Source organism: Homo sapiens, chromosome 14, assembly GCF_000001405.40.
Source record: "Homo sapiens chromosome 14, GRCh38.p14 Primary Assembly".
In the NCBI taxonomy this organism is placed as follows: Eukaryota; Metazoa; Chordata; class Mammalia; order Primates; family Hominidae; genus Homo; species Homo sapiens.
In genome coordinates, this window is record NC_000014.9 from 32,270,753 (window position 1) to 32,272,303 (window position 1,551).

General features: G+C 39.4%; 1 pseudogene; it reads right to left on the minus strand.

The window, feature by feature from the left end:
• Positions 1 to 592: 592 nt before the first annotated feature.
• KIAA1143P1 (KIAA1143 pseudogene 1) lies at positions 593 to 1,551 on the minus strand (annotated as a pseudogene).

Sequence of the window (1,551 nt, forward strand, 5' to 3'; positions counted from 1 at the left end):
TGTAACTTCACTTCAGCCTCTGATTGGTCACTTTCTGCACCAATCAGACAGGTCACGGGCCACTACTTCATTTACACAGGGTGTACGCCAAGTAACCAATGGCAAACCTCTAGAGGATATTCATTGCTTTGTGCGTTTTGTTCAATTATTTGTCCAAAATGCCAAGAACCTGGACACCCTCCACCAGTAACAGTTTGACCAGTTATTTATTGTATTACTTAGGACTGCATTTGGCTGCATATAAGAGAAACCTGACCGAGGCCTAATTAAGCACAGTGTTTATTCTTCTCACTACCAAGAAGTCAGAGGTCAGCAATCCAAGCTGGTGTAGCAGCTCCTCCAGGCATGTCAGCAAGGAGCCAAGCTCTGAGTCTTTTTACTAACATGACCCAAAGCACATGGCTGCCTTCCTTATGCCTAAAAGTGGCTCTGGTACTCAGGTTTTATCTCTGCACTCCAAGTAGGATGAAAAGATAAGAGCAAAGGCTCATGCTTGCCAAGTCTGTCCTTTTGTAACAAAAAAACCCAGCAGCTTTATCAAGCAGAATTCCACCTGTATTTCTTAACTTGCCAGAGCTGAGTCTCATGGCCACCCTTAGCAGGAGTTGGGGAGGTATTTTTAACAAAGCACATTATCATCTCCCCCACCCAAAGTGGAGCTATTGCTAATGAAAAAGATACAATGAGATGTTTATGAAATTATCTGTAGCTATTAATGTCAGGTTTTTGAAATTTACTGACCTGGAAGAATACTCATAATGCAATGTCAAGTGAGAAGCAGGACAAAGAACATTTGCAATACAGTTGTATTTATAAAATTTTGTTTACACACACAAAAAATGTATTTTGCTTAGAAATATAATTTACATATATATACAACCACACAAGGGAAATAACAAAATGTTAATACTAGCTAATTTCTATAGAGTTGGCATTTTAAGTCAGAGGGGTATTGATGAATAGATGTAGTTTATTAAATTTTTTTCTCTATTTCCTAAACTTTCTATAAAGAACTTGTAGTATCTTTATAATAGGAAAAAAATGTGATTTTAATGAACACTCCATATACTTTCAAAGTAGACTGAATTCAAAATATTTACACTTACTCATTTTCGTCTTCGTTGTCAAAAGAAAGGAGGCTACTATTTTTAATTTGTTTTTGTGAGTTCTTTTTGACCGAGTCCTGATTTACTTCATCTTCATTTGGCTTCTTCTTTTTTGAGCTTGCTGTTAAACCTGAATATTTTTCATCTGAGGGATGCTTGACTGGTTTTCGATATATGACTCTTCCATCGGCTGGAGTTGGTTCTTCATCTGCTTTGGCAGCCTTTATTTCTGCTTTAATTTTCGTGACTTCTTCAACTGACAGGTCTCCCTTTTTTAAAACCACCACTTGAGGCTGTTCATCTTCTTTGTCACTGTGATCCCCATCTTCATCTGGGGGCTGAGGCTGAATTCTCTTAGTCTCTACGGTGGGTCCCTCCCTGTAGCCGACCCGTTCCTTGAAGCGGGCCAGAAACGCCGGCTCGGCTGGCCGCACGTACGATACCT